This window comes from Homo sapiens, chromosome 10 (genome assembly GCF_000001405.40).
Source record: "Homo sapiens chromosome 10, GRCh38.p14 Primary Assembly".
NCBI classification, from domain to species: Eukaryota; Metazoa; Chordata; class Mammalia; order Primates; family Hominidae; genus Homo; species Homo sapiens.
Window position 1 is genome coordinate 86876253 of NC_000010.11, and position 16644 is coordinate 86892896.

Genomic DNA, 16644 nt, shown 5'->3' on the forward strand with positions numbered 1-16644 from the left:
CTGTGATGGAAACATTTTCAAGTATTTTTGAAATCTCAGTCTGAGTCTGTCTTCTCCTTCACAACATAGGCGTAATGATACACAGCATTAGGTCTTGTGAGGATTAAATGAGATAAAGTATGTAAAGCCACCTCAGTTAGTAGCTGAAAGACAGGGTAATAGGTAGTCCAGGCTGAGCTTCAAAATTCCTCTCTCCTTTAAAATACAATAAGGAGCAAGTGTAAATAATAATTGAAAAATCATTTTATTGGCCAGGCACAGTGGCTCACACCTGTAATCCCAGCGCTTTGGGAGGCCGAGGTGGGCGGATCATGAGGTCAGGAGTTCAAGACCAGCCTGGGCAACATGGCAAAACCTCATCTTTACCAAAAAATACAAAAATTAGCCGGGGGCCTGTAATCCCAGCTACTCGGGAGGCTGAGGCAGGAGAATCACTTGAACCCCGGGAGGTGGAAGCTGCAGTGAGCTGAGATCGCACCAATGCACTCTAGCCTGGGCGACAGAGCAAGACTCTTGTCCCTGCCCCAACCAAAAAATTTCATTTTATTGTTGTTAAAAGACTTTAGAAAGATAACTGACACTTGTCTGTGCTGAATACTAAAATTTCTTCATAGAGCACTGACAGTTTGTTTATGACCAATAAAGTAATTTTGCTACTATGTGTTCACAGCTTAGAACTCCCAAACAGGAAGTTATTGTGATGACTCTTAGGACCAGATGGCCTGTATTTGCACATAAGCTTTTTCCTGTATGGTTTAAGTAGGATAATATTTTAAGCTGAAAAGACAGTACTGTTTTGCAAGAGGATTTTAGATAAAACTTACTGGATGTCTTCGTTCTCAAGTTTTTTACTTCACAGGTTGCTTTTTCCTAATGTTTTGATCACAGTGATCTGGATTAATATCTGCTGTTAAGAAGAAACATGATTAACACCATAAAGCTTTTGATATTTTCATCTTTTTTTTTTTTTTTTGAGACAGAGTCTCGCTCTGTCACCGAGGCTGGAGTACAGTGGCGCCATCTCGGCTCACTGCAAGCTCCGCCTCCCGGGTTCACGCCATTCTCTTGCCTCAGCCTCCCGAGTAGCTGGGATTACAGGCGCCCACCATCACGCCCAGCTAATTTTTTGTATTTTTAGTAGAGACGGGGTTTCACCGTGTTAGCCAGGATGGTCTCGATCTCCTGACCTCGTGATCCACCCACTTCGGCCTCCCAAAGTGCTGGCATTACAGGCGTGAGCCACTGTGCCTGGCTGATATTTTCATCTTAAAGCACAAACATAGAATGAAATCTATAGCTTCTTTTTATTTTGCCTTAGTATTATAACAATATCCTTAGTATTACAACAATATCCTTAGTATTACCATGCTAAGAATACAGAGCCTTCAGCAAAAGCCACTTTTACTTGTGAAACACCAAATTATTTAGTACAATACCTTTACTTCAATATCTGTTACATGCCTTGTTGATCAGCATCAACCAAAGCTGCTATAGTTTTGAAGATGAGTTAAATTCATAGTAATATTATATTTGCTACCTCACTTCCAGGTAATCTCCATTTTGGCATAAATTTTTTTAAAATCTGTTTAGATCACACGTAGGCAATATGATACAAAATTCTCAGTCTTCGCCCCAGTTCACATTGTTCTATAATAAACTTTTATTAGGTGGAATAAGTTGGTAATTAGTTACTACGTAAAAGCAAAAGATCTTATTAAGAATTACATTTCTCTGATAAAGAGTGAAATTTGTTACATTTCCTTTCAAAAAATTATTTTGATAGTTGCTTCAAATAACACACAAATGTTTGCTCTTAAAGCTAAAACCAATGTAGAAAAGTTATTTCTGAGAGATCATTAGGAAGGATTGTAGAATGGTATTAATGGAAATAACTTCTGACTTTAGCTCTAGCTTTATCTTGTTTTGAATTATGTCTCAGGAAAATAAACTTATCTGTACCTTGGTTTCCTTGATGTAAAATAGAAATAATAATGCTTATCCTAGATATAAACAAGAATGTTTTGACCATCAACTGTTAGGGTATAGATTTAAGTGCTTTACATTGAGATAAAGTTACTTAGGTTTGAACAGAAAAATGAGTCATCTGATATTAACAGCTGATAGATACTTAGTTCTTATTTTTTAAGACTTGGTCACAAATTTTACAACAGGATATATTAATGTTGGATAGATATGTAGTCCCTTTTTTGGATTTTGTCACAAATTTCAGAAATGGATTTTAGTTTTAAGTAACTAATAATGACTTCAATAGAGATTTATTTTTAACATAGGTGGTAGATGTTTGCTGTACATTCAGTTATTGAGTAGTGTCAAGGCTGACATGTCTGTAATTTTCTTGACATTTCCCTTGTGGTTCCCAAGTGGTTACTATTATCTGCATTTGAGGCAGGTAAAACGGGGAAAGGGTCAGCACTGGCCTCAACTAGACCTGATACCAGGAAAGCAAAAGTGTCACAGATTTTGTCTTAAGTCTTAATCATTCCTAATAGCAAGAGCTACTGGAAAACAGAGAAACAGGATTGTCACAATTGTCTTAATCTATATCCATTGCCTAGGGCTGGGTGTGTTGTTCCCCCAAACAAAATCAGAGTTTGGTTAGCTGGGAAAAGGGGGAAAATAGGTATCAATTGGACAATTAAAAGGATCTGGGAGAGATTTAATTTTTTCCATCAATTAGAATGTTTTCCTCTACAAATAATTAAAAAAAAATTAAAAGAGCTTAAACATGACATTTTGGGCTAGGTGATTTTTATTTTTTTAAAAAAAAGTTTGAACAATAAAGAGCATGTAGTAACACACAGGAAGTCTGTATATAAGGGGACTGTAGTTGGTTATGTGGCTCATCAAGACCCAAGTTCTTTGTCTTTTCAACTGTGACATCTCTAAATGTCAGGTTAGCCACAGTGTCACAGTGTGGCTGCTGAGAGACTAGACATCACATGCAGATGAGGTAAGCTTGAGTTGACAATGCTCAGTTAAAGAAGAGGGAAATCTGTTTGTGTCTCTTTTTAATTGATAAATCTTTCCCCATTCACTCACTTCCTCTCCCCAACAGACTTCCTTCTAATCTTAGTGGCCAAAATTCATTATATGCTCTTGTGTTAAATCACTGGCAAGGGGAATGGAACTAAAATTGTTGGATTAGACCAACGATTATCTCTGCTGAGAGTAGAGGGCTGCGCTTCCCTGAATCACGTGGAGGAGGGGCAGACCCTTAATGTGTGTGTACATGTGCACATGCCTGTTGCCAGCAAGGGAAGGAGGAGAAGAATAAGAGTATCTGTTGCTGGGTACCACATTTGTTGACCTGACATCATACATATGCTAAAATGCTCATGTTGCTATGAAATTTTCAGTTCCTTTTCAAAGGGTTCTATACCCCAGAGTTGCATCCATTTAGTACATGCAGCTACTAATCCAGGACTTCTGGCTGGTGGGAAGCCCTCTCCTTCGGGTCCAGGTGCCTCTTCATGGTCCAGCAGTGTGTGGCTAAAAGCAATTATCAGTGCACAGTATATCCAGTATCCAGTGATAAAGATGAAGTGGGATAAGTACTATATAAAACTTCCATTCAGAGGAAGAAAAATTGGAAACAACCTCAGTATTCACTGCTCCATAGCATGTAGATTAATGATGCTTAACCTGTTTGTCAGCCTCCAGTTTTATTTTCTGGGAGGATTTGCCTTGTCTCTGGTGTTCCTTGGCTAGTGTTTCTGTCTTCATGGTCACATCTGAGCTGGAATTAGTGGAGGATGATCTTTGTGGAGACTGAACAGCTTTAGCGGCCTGCTTTCTGTTAGTATGGAGGTCTGATTACTGGAAATTGTCCTATGGATTGAAAACTCACAGCCTGACTGAGTCAGCCTGGGATATCTTTGGAAGTACAGTTCCTGTAAAGTTGTAGTGGTCCTACATTCTGTTTGCTCTGATCTCTTTGGTTTCACTCCATTAAACACAGTTAAATATCTTGTCTTGATGTGTGTTCTGAGAATTTCTGACCTAGCCACTGGCCTCTGCTTTGCCTGTTCTCCTGGCCTTTGGTTTAGTGACCTCCGCTCTGAGGCACTCTGCTCCTTTCCCATGCTAGAAAATGACCTGCTTTATTTGGTATTGTAGCACTTACCTATGAATAAATATTAAAATAGTACCAAATGTCAGTATTTATTCATCTTTATTGTCTTTCTCCGTCGAAGACTGTAAGCTTTAATAGATATGGGACTGTGTTTTGTTTACTCTTCTAGTCACCCAGGGCTTAAAACAGTGGCTACCACCGTGTACTCACTCAGTACATTTTGGTTTAATGGATGAATACAGTTAAAGTGAAAAAAGCAAGTTGCAAAGCTGCTTTCTTAGCCATATATTTTTACACTGACCAACCCAGTAACAACAAGCACCTGTAACAACCCAGTTGTAGTATCTGATTGTCTTTTTTCACTAAGGATCTAGAACTCCTTGGAGAAATCACTGAGTTCAAGTTCGGCAGGGAAAGAGCAAGGTGATCTTGGTATTTTGGCCAGAAAGCAAGGAAAAGTTCAAAGGATTCAGTGACCAGTTTGAATTGAATACTAATTGTAGTGGATTCAAACAAATCAAATATGTTTAAATCCACGTGTTTGTAATAACACTTAAGAAAAAAACTAGTTAGGGCTGAGGGCTGTGACTTACACCTGTACATGCCAACACTTGGGAGGCCAAGGCAGGAGGATCACTTGAGCCTCAAGAGTTTGAGAACATCCACGGCTAAACTGAGAGTCCCTTTAAAAAAAAAATAGTTTGAGACCAGCCTGGGCAACATAGAGCTGGTCTCTACAAAAAAAAAATTTTAATTAGCTGAGTGTGGTGATGTGTGCCTGTATTCCTGGCTGAGGTGGGCGGGAGAATCACTTGAGCCCGGGAGCTTGAGGCTGCAGTGAACCAATGATGACGCCACTGCACTCTAGTCTGGGCAGCAGAGCAAGACTCTGTCTCAAAAAAAGAAAACAAAACTAGTTGGTTACTGTTAAAAGATGCTAATGAAGTCATTAATTTTGAAAACTGGTAAATAGAGGGAGAAATCAAACATTAATCTTGCCTTTCTAACATGAACTGTGCCACCTGTATCCAATTAGTAGGTGAGGGAAAGCATCTCATAGATGTATTCCAAGTCATAAAAAAGAGAAATGATAGGATTAGATACATTATTTTATACTATGCCGATTGAATTAGTGAATCTAGACCTTAAAAACAGAGATAAGCAGGCATTTGGTTCCCTCCTGCCCACAACATACAGAGCAGCTGCATTTCAGCGCTCAATAGACACATGTGACTTGTGGCTACCATATTGGACAGCACAGCTCTCGAGCTAATTACCATTTACAAAATCCATAGAGAACAAGAGGACATGTTAAATGATGCCAGGAGGATGTGATCAGAAATTCCAGACTGTGGTAAATACTATACTAGTAAATACCGGACAAGTTACCCAATGTCTACAAGTAAATCTCAAGGACAGGAAGAGGCAGAAGAAACTGGTAGATTAAGAGACTTGGAGACAACCAGCTTATTTGGATCCTGATTCAAGGAAACTACTAAAGTAATTTGTAATATTTATGATACAATTGGAAATTAGAAAGCAATTTATAACATTTATAATATAATTGGAAATTTGAACATTGCCTTGATGTTTGATGATATTGGTAAGGATAAGGAATTACTATTAATTTTTTTAGGTGTGATAACTGTGTTTTTTTTTTAAGTTCTTTTAGAGATACACATTGAAATATTTACAGATAAATGGACATATCTGGTATTAGCTTCATAATTATATGAAAGGGGGAGGGAGTGAAACAAGAAGGGCCATGAATTCATCATTATAAAAGCTGGGCTGTATGGGTATGTGTGGGTTCATTGTACAGTTTTCTCTACTTTTATAAAAGGTTTCTGGCCAGGTGCAGTGGCTCAGGAGTTCGAGACCAGCCTGGCCAACATGGTGAAACCCTGTCTCTACTAAAAATACGAAAATTAGCCGGGCATGGTGGCATGTGCCTGTAGTCACAGCTACTCGGGAGGCTGAGGTGGGAGGATCGCTTGAACCAGGGAGGTGGAGGTTGCAGTGAGCCGAGATTGGGCCACTGAACTCCAGCCTGGGCAACAGAGTGAGACCCTGTCTCAAAAAAATAAAAAGTTTTCTGGAAGAATACTTCATTTCAAACATATATATGTAAATGAATAGAAAAAGGACAAGAAGCATATACATCAAACGGATAATGGTGGTTATGTTTAAGGAGTGGGAAGGGGATTAGATGGGCCCAAAGAGGACTTTTTGGTTTACTTGTGGGGCTCAATTTTTTTTTGGATGCTATGAGAATATATTGTTGTTTTATTTGAGTATTTTAAAAACTACTTTTAGGAAAAAAAAAAAAAAAGACCCAACACGGTGGCTCATGTCATGTCTATAATCCCAGCACATTGGGAGGCTGAGACGGGCGGATCACCTGAGGTCAGGAGTTCGAGACCAGCCTGGCCAACATGGAGAAACCCCGTCTCTACTAAAAATACAAAAAATTAGCCAGGTGTGGTGGCACATGCCTGTAATCCCAGCTACTCGGGAGGCTGAGGCAGGAGAATCGCTTGAACCTGGGAGGCGGAGGTTGCCGTGAGCTGTCATGCCACTGTACTCCAGCCTGGGCAACAGGAGCGAAAACGCCATCTCAAAAAACAAACAAAAAAACCATCAAAAACTACTTATAGGAAAAATACTTATTTCAAGCATATGTCTAAGTAGAGAGAATAATATAATGAAACTCCATGAACTTGTCACTCAGTTTTGACAGTATCAACTGATGACCAAGGCTGTTTCCTCTCTACCCCCATGCACTTCTCCCTCACCCACGTCACCCTTGGATTATCGTGGGTAATTTTGAAATAATATTTCAGTTAAGTATAAGACACCTTGGCTGGGCACGTTAGCTCATGCCTGTAATCACAGCATTTTGGGAGGCTGAGGCAGGCAGATCACTTGAGGTCAGGAGTTCAAGACCAGCCTGCCAGCACTTTGGGAGGCCGAGGTGGGCGGATCATGAGGTCAGGAGATAGAGACCATCCTGGCTAACACGGTGAAACCCCGTCTCTACTACAAATACAAAAAATTAGCCGGGCGTGGTGGCGGGCGCCTGTAGTCCCAGCTACTCAGGAGGCTGAGGCAGGAGAATGGTGTGAACCCGGGAGGCGGAGCTTGTAGTGAGCCGAGATCACGCCACTGCACTCTAGCCTGGGCGACAGAGCGAGACTCCGTCTCAAAAAAAAAAAAAAAAAAAAAGACCAGCCTGGCCAACATGGTGAAACACCGTCTCTACTAAAAATACAAAAATTAGCCGGGCGTGGTGGCAGGCGCCTGTATCCCAGCTACTTGGGAGGCTGAGGCAGGATAACTGCTTCAACCCAGGAGGCAGAGGTTGCAGCGAGTGGAGATCGTGCCATTGTACTCCAGCCTGGGCAACAGAGTGAGACTCCATTTCAAAACAAAAAAAACAAAAAGCAAAATTCCTCAAAGGCCACATACTGTGATCATAATGCAATAAAAGGAGTTCAACAGTGTAAACTTTGTTTGAGCGTATGACTTTTTTTTTTTTTTTTCTATTTGAGACGAGTCTTGCTCTGTGGCCCAGGCTGGAGTGCAGTGGCACAATCTCAGCTCACTGCAACCTCCATCTCCTGGGTTCAAGCGATTCTCCTGCCTCAGCCTGCTGAGTAGCTGGGATAACAGGTAGACACCACCACACTCGGCTAATTTTTGTATTTTTAGTAGGGTTTCGCCATGTTGGCCAGGCTGGTTTGAACTCCTGAGCTCAGGTGATCCACCCACCTCGGCCTCCCAAGGTGCTGGGGTTACAGGCCTGAACCACCATTCCCTGCCAGCCTGCTGGGTTCTTAAGCGATCCTTCCGCCTCAGCCACCCAAGTACCTGGAACTACAGGTGTGCTCCACCACACGCAGCTAATTTTTTAAATTTTTTGTAGAGACCAGGTCTCAGCATGTTTCCCAGGCTGGTCTTGAACTCCTGAGCTCAAGCATCCTACCTTCCTGGACCTCCGTAAGTGCTAGGATTACAGGCATGAGCCACCATGCCTGGCAAACACATGATTTTTTTTTTTTTTTTTTTTTTTTTTTTTTTTTTTTTGAGATGGAGTCTCACTCTGTTGACCAGGCTGGAGTGCATTGGTGTGATCTTGTCTCACTACATCCTCCACCTCCCTGGTTCAAGTGATTCCTTTGTCTCAGCCTCCTGAGTAGCTGGATTACAGGCTCACAGCACCATGCCCAGCTAATTTGTTGTATTTTTAGTAGAGACAAGAGTTTCACCATGTTGGCCAGACTGGTCTCAAACTCCTGACCTCAGGCAGTCCACCCGCCTCGGCCTCCCAAGGTGCTGGGACTACAGGCGTGAGCCACCGCGCCTGGCCAAGCATATGATTTTTAATGCAATAACTATATTCATGTTTCTAGAAGCTTTTTTTTGCCATTCAGTGACATTATGGATGACACTGCATGTCAGTATGTGTCGGACATGTGTCAGCATGTGTCGGAATGTATCAACCCATTTTTGATAATGGGTTCAGAACCAAGTTTGATTAATGTTAACTGATTTATGCAGTTTTTATGTTCAACTGAAATACATCTAACTATAATTTTTTATTGGCCTTCCAAAAGTGTCATAAAATAAGCCTAATCATTCACATATCCTATCAGATGTGAAAAGCCCATTTCTATGCTTTCTGGCCCTGCCGCAAAATCTTTTCTTTTCTTCTCCCTTTGATTTTCCTCCTAGACCAACGTAGTATGACAGAACTTTGTTTGGTGATGGAAATTTCTATATCAGTAATTTGCAAACTATAGCCCACAAACTAAATCCAGCGCATTGCTGCATTTTGTGCTGCTCATGAGTGAAGAATGGTGTTTTTGCATTTTTAAGTGATTGAAGAAAAATCAAGGGAATATTTAATGACACATGAAAATTATATGGAATTCAAATTTTATTATCCATAAGTAATTTTATTGGAACACACTCATGTTCATTTTTTTACATGTTGTCTGGCTGATTTTGCATTGTGTCGGCAGAATTGAATAGTTGTGACAGAGACCTTGGGGCCCACAAAACCAATACCTGTTTTCTATATCTCTGCTGTCTTGTGTGATAGCTACTAGCCAAATGTGGCTTTTGAGCACTTGAGTTGTGACTAGTGTGGGTGAGAAACTGATTTTTAATTTTACTTCATTTTAATTCGTCTACATTTTAAGTCACATGTGGCTAGTGGCTACCATATGGGACAGCACAGTTGTAGACATGCCACCTTTTCCCTAGTTCTTGCTTCCTTGTACTTGACTTTCCTTCTGCTGATGTCTTCCTGGTTTCTATTTAATTAATGATGCAGACTGTTGTTGCAGAATTCATTAGGCTACCATTGCTGATTATCTCATATGTATAGTGCATCAGTAGCCCATTGGTCTCACCAACCGTTTGCCATCTGAGTTCTGTTGTAGACATTCTATCTTAAGGTTGCGGCAGAGGGCATTTATTTGCTGTAGAAAAAGGAAGCCAATAAATTATTGGGAAAATATGAAAAATTACTTAGCCAGGAATAAAAATCTAGTAAAATCATTGATGCCAAAAATTGCTGTTGATGACAAGGACCTGTAAATGTGCCTGTGTATGGTCATGTGTCTCTTGTAACTGTTTGTCTCTTTGTATGTATATGTTTTCATTTTTTCCTGAGATGTTATACTTAAACATGTAAGCTATTAAATATTTTGTGTGTGTTTGTTTTGAAATATAACCTATACCCCCAGTCCACCCCAGGGCTCGTAGTTTATTCTTTGTAAATACACGGGACTTGTGGGTGGCGAGAGATTGACATGTTCAGAACTGACAGAAGGCCATGTGCCAAGTAAAGTGATGATGGTGAGGCCTGCAGGACCCAGATCCTGTTGGGCCCTGGGAGCACACAGTGGAGGTTGGATTTTATTCTGAGTGCATTGTGGAGCCATTGATTGGTTTTATATAGGAGTGACAGATTTGTGTTTATAAAATGTCTCTGGCTGCTCTGTGGAAAATGGATTGCAGGGACCAAGAGCAGAAGCAGAGGGAACAGTTGGAGACTTCTTACCTTAGTAGAGGCATGATGTGATGGGCCTTGGTGACAACAGCGGAGTTGGAGAAAAATGAAAACAATTGACATACATTTTGGAGGTTGAGCCAAAAGACTTTGGTAAGACCAGGTTTGAGGCAAATCAAGAGTTCATTTAAGACAAGTCAGTCAGGAGATGTCTAAGCAGGTCATGGCTAGAGGGGGTACATCCAGGAACCATCAACAGAGTGGGCGCTGTCCCCTAGGGAGAGCACAGAGAGGCTCTTTCCTGTTACTTTTCTTTGTATTCAATATCTGCTTGGTGAAATCTTGCAAGTTTTTAAGATGTAGCTTAGATTTCATTACTTTTGACACCTAAGATCAGTTTGAGTTTGACACCTAGGATGAGCCTTTTCCTTTGTTTACATGTAAACACCTCCGTATTTTGTCACTTTTTTTTTTTTTTTTTTTTGAGATGGATTTTCGCTCTTGTCGCCCAGGCTGAAGTGCAATGGCTTGATCTCTGTTCACTGCAACCTCCACCTCCCAGGTCAAGTGATTGTCCTGCCTCAGCCACCTGAATACTGGGATTACAGGCGCCTTGCCACCACGCCCAGCTAATTTTTTAATATTTTTAGTAGAGACGGGGTTTCACCATGTTGACCAGGCTGGTCTTGAACTCCTGACCTCAGGTGATGTGCCCACTTTGGCCTCCCAAAGTGCTGGGATTACAGGCGTGAGCCACCGCGCCTGGCCTTTGTATTTTGTCACTTTTCACATTGTATTTATTTGCTTTTGTGCTTATTCCCCCTCTGCTTTCCACCAAGTTTCTCAAGGCCACATATGTGGTTTTGATGCCACATCTTTGCGTTTCTAGCATTTAATACCTTGCCTGCACATAATAGACCCCTACTAAGTATTCTGTTGAATATTTGGCAATAACATAAGCTCCAGATACAACTACTGTAATTGAGTTTTTTGTCTCATGAATTCAAATAGTATTCTAGGAAGTTTCATATAACTTTGAGTTTTTTCATGTATCAGTGATCTTTTAGTGTTCTGATCTTTGTTATTAGTAACATCTTCATTTGTATACTATTTTACATGTAGTTAAGCACTTTAGTAAATATTCATTTGATCTACCTATAACCTCTTGATTTGAATTAGGCAGGAATTATTATCCCCATTTTCTATAGATAGCTGAGGTTCAGAGAGTAACTTATCTGTGCCCGTAACTGCGACTTGAACCCTTCACTTCTTGCTGTTATCTCAAGTGATATTTCTGCCACACTAAACTGCTTTTTCTGTGTCACTAGATTTTTGAAAAATCAGTTGCTGTGATATATTATATACTGTTTGTTTTCCAGAGCTGAATTGATACGTGTCTTCTGTTAATGTAATAGGATTTTAAAGCTGGTCAGGTTCCCTCACCTGTCCTCTAGTCCTGTAGCCTTATAGAGTAAATGAAGCCTGGAAAGGTGACATGGCTTGCCCAAGACCATCCAGCTAGGTAAAGCGGGGTAGGCCCATGGCAAAACAGAATCCCAGTCTCCTCATTTCCTGCTCAGTGGATTTCTTCCCTTCCTGTACCTCCTGCTTCCCCCACCCCATCTTTTACAGTTGATGTTTCTAACATAAAGGAGGTCTTTCCGCTTTGTAGCAATCAGATCCAACGGAAGCCTTGACATTATATTACGGAATTTATTTCTGAAAGGAGAGTGGTGTGGGGGGCGCGGGGATGAGTAATATATGTATGTACACAAACTTCCAGCTTTTTTTTTTTTTTTTTAAGTGTTTTCTCTCCTGGCCGGGCACGGTGGCTCATGCCTGTAATCCCAGCACTTTGGGAGACTGAGGCAAGTGGATCACTTGAGGTCAGGAGTTTGAGACCAGCCTGGCCAACATGGTGAAACCCTGTCTCTACCAACAAAATACAAAAAAATTAGCTAGGCGTTGTGTGGGGTGCCTGTAATCCCAGCTACTCGGGAGTCTGAGGCAGGAGAATTGCTTGAACCTGGGAGGCGGAGGTTGCAGTGAGTCGAGATTGCACCAGTGCACTCCAGCTTGGGTGACAGAGTGAGACTCTATCTCAAATAAAAATGTTCTCTATACTCATTCAGTAGCAAATTCTTTTACTAAATATTCGGTATAAGAAAGTGAAGGTTATTGGCCAGGCATAGTGGCTCACGGCTATATTCCCAGCACTTCGGGAGGCTGAGGCGGGAGGATCGCTTGAGCCCAGGAGTTCAAGACCAACCTGAGCAGTATAGGGAGACCTTGTCCCTACAAAGAATTTAAAAATTAGCCGGGCATGGTGGCATGTGCCCTTGGTCCCAGCTACTCCAGAGGCTGAGGTGGGAGGATCACTTGAGCCTGGGAGGTTGAGGCTGCAGTGAGCTCTGATCACATCACTGTACTCCAGCCTGGGCAATAGCGTGAGACCATGTCTCAAAAAAAAAAAAAAAAAAAGTGAAAATTATTGAAACTGAAGGCATGTAATCATCAAAACACTATTTAGCAGCACTTTTTCTGTTACCTGTGTGTGCATATGTGATATTTTTTGTCTTTTCAGTAGTTTATCTCATCAGTATGGTAAATGTAAAATCAAGTCTGTGTTGTGTCTTGAACCACTTATTTAACATTCATAATGAAATACATATACACTTGTCTGTTTGGTTCCACCTTTCATTCCCTTGAGAGTAACCCACAAAGAATGGCCTAGCTGAGTCAGAGAGAGGAAGTAATTACTAGAACAGTTTTTTTAGTTCCGTTCTGCTTCCAGCCTGAAAGATTTAGTACCAAATATGACAGTATCTGTCACTGCAGGCTGCTAGACTCTAGTGTAAGAACATAGTTCTATTTCTGTGAGCTAACTGCTGCCCTTCTATAACCTTCAGTTTCTGCCAGCATCGTCTGCATTCAAACCAATGACCTCGAGGTGAAAATCTCCAGATAACATGATTGGTCCCCATGCTCTCATGATTTCCTTACTTAAGCAATTAAAGGCCAAAGCAAGATGCTTAGTAACTCCTTTTCCACATAGAGGCACAAATAAAGGAAAGCTGGTCACAAGTTTTGAACCAAAGAGTTAAAAGAAGAATCATAACTTGTCTCTATTTAATGATTGGAAACTCTCACAGACTTCTGTGAAGTCTCTCCCCCTTTTGTACCTTTCTTACAAGTGATGACTATATACTTTTACCTGGCAGGGGAGAGACCACGGTCACGAAGGTGGTTTTCCCAGGGCGAGGCTTATTCATTGCACTCCAGATGTGCTGACCCCTGCGATTTCCCCAAATGTGGGAAACTCAACTGCATAATTGTGGTGGTGGGGGACTGCGTTCATGCTTTTCCCTGGTTAAATTAAAAAATTTTTAAGTTATTTTAAAAATATAAAAAACAAGATTTGACTGTATTCTGCCTTGCGCCACTCTTGTTTGTCTTTCACTAGTGCAAAAATTGTGATATAGCTGTCTTCATGTACCCCGCAATACCTGGTGCAGTAATTCTGTGCATAATAATGTATGTCTGTTTGTTGTATGAATGAAATTTATATTTCTAAAGAAACATGCTAGCTACAATTATTGTGATAAGAAAGCTTAACAACTTTTTCTCATTGAAAATTGTCACGAAACAATGAGCTTTTCAGAAATGATTTACTTACAAATTCCATATTTGAATGCAGGACAGAATCTGGATAGTATGCTTCATGGCACTGGGATGAAATCAGACTCCGACCAGAAAAAGTCAGAAAATGGAGTAACCTTAGCACCAGAGGATACCTTGCCTTTTTTAAAGTGCTATTGCTCAGGGCACTGTCCAGATGATGCTATTAATAACACATGCATGTAAGTATTTTATGCAGCCCTTCTTAAGAGTTAGGAGAATAGAGTTGCATTTAGTGCTATTTTAAGAATTATTAAACTTGTCTGCGGTTTTTTTTTCATTCATATATAGTATCTTTCCAGAAAGCCAAAAAGCCTTTTGTTTTGTATATTAGAACATTATTCCATTAAATGATTGATAGGTGAGTTACTATATTAGAATTATGTTATAATGCAGCTTTTAAAATAAGATCAAAGGGATCTAGTATTTAACATCTGAGTTTTTAATGATCTTTTAATCTTAAATTTATTGATGCTCATTTTAGAAAACTTAGAGGTTACCAAAAAAGAAATCAGAAAACTCACTGACAACCTCCTACTTCTTTTTAATTTAAAAAAAAATTTTTTTTTTAACTATAGACAGGATCTTGCTATGTTGCCCAGGCTGGTCTCAAACTCCTGGGCTCAAGCAGTCCTTCCACCTCAGCCTCCCAAAGTGCTGGGATTACTAGGGTGAGCTGCCACACCTGGCCTCCTACTTCTTAATTAGTTGAAATATTTTGCAGATATATATAAATCATATTGTGTTAATTAATTTTATGCTTTTTTCTTACCTGTGAATTTACCAATCCAAATCTGATTTATAAAATGATTTTAATTTTTCTAGTGTATTTCGTGTTAGCTGCACAACATGTTTATATATGATCATGTAATTCTAGTCCATATTTGTTGGAAACATTGACATATTGACTTAATAAGACCAAAAAAAATTGCCTGAACAACTCAACCTCATCAGTCAATTAATTGTCTCCTTGTTATAGAGGCAATAATGAATGTCATGTTTTATACTTTTAATAATTGTATGTTCCCTGAATGGACCAGATAGAAAGCATGAAACTTTACACGTAAACTCTTGAACCTGCATGACGGTCATCGTGTCTTAGGTTTGCTGCTTGTCCCCTGGTGGTGGTGGGCTCTGCGTGGCTGACTGTGACTAGTTGTTCATTTTTACCTTGGTGAGAGTTTGCCAGCAGGGAACTGCTCTCTGCTATGTCACCAAATAATGTTTTGCTAAACTTCTTGTCTGTAGTACCTGCCTGATGTAATGGGCTGTCTGTTAGTAGCTTAGTAACCCAGAGTAAAACTGAATCATCCATTTTAACAGAATTCTGCCCCACACTTAACATTTTCTCCTAACAGAAAACCAAGAATTCTGCAAAATTCTTCTAAGTAGAAGCAGCACAATTCCTGATATTAACAATAAATAGGAGTACAGAAAAAGCTTTTAGAAATTTCTCCCATACCTGTTAAAGTCTATATGAATATATTAAGGGGAAACTCCAGGATGCTAACACTAAAATAAGAATTTCATTATATATGTATGTAAATTTATTGAAAATTTATTCAAAAGTCCTCTCCCTGTTTTCCCATCATATTCAGTAAAAGGTGCCTTTTAGTCCCCTTTTTTTTGGTCATTAAGCCTATTTGTATGTTTCAGAGAAAAGTTTGTTTTTATCTATTATCATATACAATATGGAAGTACTGAAAAAATGGGTAAAAAGAGACAAAGTTATTTTAAAGTATGTTTTCAAAACATGACATAAAATTTTATAAATCAGCTTTCTGTGATCACATGACTGATTAGCAAAGAGAAGTCACATAACTCCTATGTGGAGGACTTGTTTAATTGAAATCCTTTTCTTCTTGACAAAGGGTTGTCACTGGCCTTTTAGATCTTGGCTCAGACATAACTTTCATTTGTCTTAAAACCTCTGGCGTTGCCAATAAATCACGTGTGAATGCAATTCTAAGTCACAAAACAAAGTATTAAAGGCCATCTGTACCTGTTCACATTCAGACTCAAATTTCGTTAGTACTTTCTATGTGAATTTATGTTTTGTTTTGTTTTGTTTTTTTCTGTTTTAGAACTAATGGACATTGCTTTGCCATCATAGAAGAAGATGACCAGGGAGAAACCACATTAGCTTCAGGGTGTATGAAATATGAAGGATCTGATTTTCAGTGCAAAGTAAGATATAATTTGGGACCCATGAGACAAAGAAGGGAGGGGCCATATGAAAGCATCGATTTCCCCCAGGAGAAACATGCCTGGTGTACACATCGCTGTATGTTCACATCAGTAAATATATTGGAGGAATACCTACTGTCTAGATTCTGTCCTGTATTCATATGTAGAATTTATAACTAAATCATTTCTGAAAAGCTAATTGTTTGATTACAATTTCCTTTTTTATTTCCATAGACAGCACCTGGCTCTGTTGCCCAGGCTGGAGTGCAGTGCTGCGATCTCCGCTCACTGCAACCTCAAGCCAGCCTCCTGCCTCAGCCTTCTGAATAGCTGAGACTACAGGTGCATGCCACTATACCTGGCTAATTTTTGTATTTTTTGTAGAGACAAGGTTTTACCATGTTGCCCAGGCTGGTCTCAAACTCCTGGGCTCAAGCAGTCTGCCCGCATCGGCCCGCAAAGTGCTGGGATTACAGGTGTGAGCCACTGTGCCCAGCCTGATTACAGTTTTCTTTGTTCTCTACTTGGGAGGCTGAGGCAGAAGAATTGCTTGAGCCGGGGAGGCCAAGGTTGCAGTTAGCCGAGATCGTTCCACGGTACTGCAGCCTGGGCCACAGAGCAAGACCCTGTCTCAAAAAAAAAAAAAAAAAAATTCTTTTTTCTTTTT

General features: G+C 40.1%; 1 protein-coding gene and 1 pseudogene across 36 annotated transcripts in view; both read left to right on the forward strand.

The window, feature by feature from the left end:
- BMPR1A (bone morphogenetic protein receptor type 1A) overlaps positions 1 to 16644 on the forward strand; it is a 177082-nt gene that overhangs the window by 120490 nt on the left and 39948 nt on the right. For 34 of the 36 annotated variants that reach the window (NR_176213.1, NR_176212.1, NR_176211.1 and 31 more), the window contains 2 exons: positions 13810 to 13972; positions 15875 to 15977. Coding sequence is in view for 33 of the 36 variants with exons in the window: in NM_001406562.1 (NP_001393491.1) it covers positions 13810 to 13972; positions 15875 to 15977 (266 nt within the window). In the remaining 3 variants the exon portion in view is untranslated. The remainder of the gene's footprint in view (positions 1 to 13809; positions 13973 to 15874; positions 15978 to 16644) is intronic. The other 2 variants (NM_001406588.1, NM_001406586.1) reach the window with 1 other exon arrangement.
- On the forward strand, positions 13317 to 13481 carry RNU1-19P (RNA, U1 small nuclear 19, pseudogene; annotated as a pseudogene).